The sequence below is a fragment of the Homo sapiens genome, chromosome 8, assembly GCF_000001405.40.
Source record: "Homo sapiens chromosome 8, GRCh38.p14 Primary Assembly".
Classification (NCBI taxonomy): domain Eukaryota; kingdom Metazoa; phylum Chordata; class Mammalia; order Primates; family Hominidae; genus Homo; species Homo sapiens.
This window is the reverse complement of record NC_000008.11, coordinates 135,923,208-135,928,001: the sequence shown is the minus strand read 5'-3', so window position 1 is coordinate 135,928,001 and position 4,794 is coordinate 135,923,208. Positions and strand designations below refer to the sequence as shown.

At 40.2% G+C, this 4,794-nt stretch overlaps 1 annotated feature.

The window, feature by feature from the left end:
* Nucleotides 4,239-4,318: an enhancer, noted in NCBI's record as "active region_28023". NCBI's record gives its function as "activates an Ori minimal core promoter by ATAC-STARR-seq in GM12878 lymphoblastoid cells {active_cell/tissue: GM12878}" and the evidence as "EXISTENCE:reporter gene assay evidence [ECO:0000049][PMID:35858748]".

The window sequence follows — 4,794 nt, the reverse complement described above, 5'->3', positions numbered from 1 at the left end:
ACAGGACAAGATGTTTTAAATAATAATAAAAGAAAAACAAAAGGAAAGATTAGGTATGGAATAGATAATAGTTGAAAGAAGGAAAACAGTATGGAATAGATGGCTAAATAATAGAATAAAATAAGCTCCAGAATTAAATTGTGAATTATAAAGCAAATTGAGAAACTTTTCAAGAAGGCATGAGTTAGAAGGTGTCTTAGTTCATATACTGCTATAACAGAATACCTGAGACTGGAAATTTATAAAGAATAGAAATTTTATTTATTCCAGTTCTACAGACTGGGAAGTCTAAGGTCAAGGGCCTTCATCTGGTGAGGGCCTTCTTGCTATGTCATCCATTAGTGGAAGGTGGAGAGGGAAGAGATTATACACAAGTGAGACAGGATGGGGACAAACTCATCCTTTTATTAGGAACTCATGTGCAAAATAACAGCATTAATTCATTCATGAGGACAAAGCCCTCATGACCTAATCACCTCTTAAAAGACCCACATTTCAACACTGTCACATTGGGGATTAAGTTTCCAACACATAAACTTTGGGGAACGTAGTCAAACCATAGCATTAGGCATCAAGGGATGGGAAACAGTAAATATCAAATATTTTCTCCTTCATTTTATCAAATATGAATTTAATTGAAGTTTTTCCTGATATTAAACCATCCTTGCCTTATATTTTATTAGTTTCTTAAAACTATGAGCTAGGTTAATAACATTTTTTAATATACTCGTCAATGATTTTTTTTAAAATTAATGTTTTACTAGCCTTTTAAAAATAATTGAGTAAGTTTTCCTCTTTTTTCCTCTGGAAGACAGTGTAAATTATCTTTTTCTTTAAAACTCATTTATAAAAGTATTTGGTTCCAGTAATTCATATATAACTATGTTATATTTATACTAAATCTCTCCATGCTACCTCCTAATTCACTAATTCTCCTTTCAACTGCATACTAAACTAGAGGACTCCCCCCTCCTTTACTTTCTCTTTGTCTTCTTTCTTTTGTCCCTTGCCACCATCAGACAATGTTTCAGATATTTCAGCGTGCTTTTACCACATTTTGTCATCAAGGATCCCAGTAGGAAACAAATGACACATTCAAAATGTTAAAGGGGTTTAATAAAGGGTCTATTTCCAGAGGTGAGGGCAGGGTATGAGCAGACCACAAGAATAGTGAAATACACTGGGCTATAAACAGAGGGGCTATAACTTACCCATAGGCCCATACCATAGGATAGGACTAGGGAAAGGAGAGATGATCAGAATCTGGAAGTCTTATGGAGACTACCTTGGCCTTCTGTTTGAAGGTACAGCCCAAATGAGTTGCGAGCCTACAGCAAGAGCGTAAATACTATAAACACCTTGATCTCACTTTCACTCCTCCTGTAGCAATCAAATTGGAGAGCAAACCTGGAAAGGTCAACAAACTTTATTCAGCACGCTGATCTTCACCCAAATCATGAAACGCATGAATGTCCAATAACTCAGTGTTTCACAGCCAACTTGACATAGATACAATGCATGATAGGAAGCAGTTGAAGACAATTTAGTGCTCTTGTAATCACACATTTTCTCATTTGTTTCTGTCAGTTCCCAAGGAAGCAAGACTGTTTTGGTCATCTTCCCACCACCAGCACACAAACCAAAACCCAGAATACAGCATGTGCTCAGTAAATTGTAGATGAATGACAGTAATAACACAGTGCGACCTTATATGAGTCCCATGACTTTTTAGCCCTAGTTTTATTTAATTTTTTGAGAATGAGAAGCTGGATTGGAGGATCTCTAAATTTCTTGAGAACAATGGTAGTCCTTATATCTATGACTCTAAGAACTTCCATTCATCCTTGTTAATGAACGTTGAAAACATCCTTTGTTATTCAGAGGCCTGGGTATTCCGGTTGACCTCCAAATACTATAACAGAAACTAGAGTCTTTGGACAAAGTTAACAAGTGAGCCCAGATTCTCCACTGTCTAAATACCCTCACAGTTGAATAGCTTATTCATGTTGTTGTTTATTCATGACTCCCTTATCCCATCTGTCCTGCTGTGGCCTCCAAGGACAAATTTCCAGCTATTCAGAAAGCCACAGCTGCCTCGGCTGCATGACTACAATGACTTCTTGAGAAGCCAAGGATATTATAAGAGAAAGACTTTTGGATTTATCTCATCTCATGCTTTATTGGCACAAAAGGTATTCTGTGCACACACCTAATATAGAGAAAAGAACTAGCATTCGCGAAGCACCTGTTCTTTTACTTCATTGGATCCTTACAAGAGTCCCATGTAAGAAGGAGACAGGATTGCCTGGTCTGTACATGAAGCTCTAAGCAGCTAATTCATTGCCAATGTTACCTAACAAATGAGCGGCAGAGCAGAGAAGGAGAAAAAAATTCCAGCTTTCTTGAGCCCAATCTAGCATTGTTTCTGAAAGTGTTTGTTGGATGATTCACGGCGTCACACCTCTGTTGGGCTGATTTGGTGTTTTGAACATGCCTGCCCTAACCAAAGATGGTTCAAAACCCTCTGCTCTTGCTGCTTGGTGGCTGACAGAATTTACCACACCATCTATAATAGTAATAATAATGATAGTAATATTATTTAATTCAATTTAAATTGAATTGAAGAGTAATGACAATAATTGCAGTTAATATTTTGGTAGAGTCACTCTATGTCTGGCCCCCGTACTCAGAACTTTACCAAAATCAACTCCTTCTAATCTCACAGTAACCTTCTGTTGTAGATATTAATATTATCCCAATTCTGCCAATAAGAAAACTGAGACACAAGTCAAATCACTTGGCTAAGGTCATACAGGCAATAAGTGGCCAAGCCGAGCTTCAGCACAGACAGTCTGGTTTCTGAGCCCATGTATTCTACCACTACTCTATCATCTCTCTCAACCACCTTGCAGAAAAATAGGGCAGTACGGCATTAATAGCACATAATAAATAAGAAAACCAAGGCTTGGAAGGTGGAAGTGACTTCTTGATAAACAACATACTGTGTAAGTTATTAATAAACAGGTCTAACCTGCCTACAGAGCCAAGATTCTTACCCAGGTCCGGCATCCTGAGAATATACATCTATTTCTACTTCTTTGGGTACTTGTGGGACTAAACAAAATGATGGACAGGGAATTTACTGTAAAGATAGTATCTTGGCTATCACTGGTTTCTTTACCTTTTTTTTTCTCACTTTTAATGCATCATGACCTTTTAGTAACTGGTAGAGCCAGGACTCAAACATAGTTTTTGCAACTCAGCCCCCAAGTTCTACTGTGTATATACATAACTATTGTCAGTGCTCTGCCAGCTGCTTTCAGCTGTATGTGAATGAGTTGATGAGCTTCTCTACAAGGTGTAAGCTACAGAATAGACTTCTGGAAGTGGAAATAGAGCAGCTACCGCAAAGGCAGCCTTGATTGGTGGTTTCATATAGTTCAAGCTAAACTGAAAGCCCAGATGCTACCAAGACATGGGATCAAGTATCAGATGAAGGTGGGAGGACCCCAGGAAAAATCCAGATGGCAGCCTTGTAGTGGCATTAGAGAAATACGTCAGTCTTCATCACTCATCATCCTTTCAACAGATGACTATGGGGCACCCATATGTGCCAGCTTATATGAATCTGAGACAGTAGACTTATTAATCCTACACTCTGAGAATTTACAGTTTAAGGGAAGATGTGCATAAGTAAGGAGGAACTTGCAATGTGAGGTGAGAAGGGCTGCAGTTGGAGCAGTGTGCCCACTATTAGAAGCACTGGAAAATCAATTGGGCAGCTTCTTTCTTTCTTTCTTTCTTTCTTTCTTTTTTTTTTTTTTTTTTTTTTTTTGACGGATTCTCGCTCTTTTCCCAGACTGGAATGCAATGGCACAATCTTGGCTCACTGCAACCTTCCCATTCCGGGTTCCAGCAATTCTCCACCTCAGCCTCCCGAGTAGCTGGGACTACAGGCGCATGCCACCACACCCGGCTAACTTTTGTGTTTTTAGTAGAGACAGGGTTTCACCAGGTTGGCCAGAATGGTCTTGATCTCTTGACCTTTGATCCTCCCACTTCAGCCTCCCAAAGTGCTGGGATTACAGGCTTGAGCCACCACCAGCTTTTTAAAATTGGTGATGCCCAAGGGCTATTCCAGACTACTGGAATGGGAATCTCTAGTGGTGGGATCTAAAAATTATCATTTCTTAAAAGCTCCCAGGTGAGTGTGTGGCTGGTGTTGACAAGCACCACCAGAGCAGGAAGCACAGGATGCCATGTGGGGCCTTGGAGGAGTCCCCAGCACCACCTTAGAGAAGAGGGGAGGCTGCTGGCAGGAAGGGGTAGATGAGCTGAGACCTGAAGGGGGAAAAAGCCAGGCTCAGGGGAGGTGGACAAAAGGGAAAGGAGTGTTAAGAATCTTTTAAGAGAAACTTGAATTCCTGGAATAATTTCAATTCCTGTTTTAACTTGACTACTTGTTCTCGTCTCTCACACTACACTGGCCCCAGTGTCTCTGCCTAATGAGATGCAGTCTGACCATATTACAATGGAAACCACTCCTCACACAATCTGAGAATCAGTCTCTTGGCAGCTCTCCTATTCCTTTATGGAGAGTAGCTGACGAAGGCCAGAGAGAGACTTCAGACCCACTAGAACATTCCAACACTCAGTTCCTCAAATGCAAGTTATCTGAGGAATGAAATGACTAAAGGGGAACTCTGAGGGGAAGTTGGTTCAGTCAACTGAGACTCACTAGCAGATCTCAGTGTCAATACCACTTCCTCTGAGAAGCTGTCCCTGATCTACCAA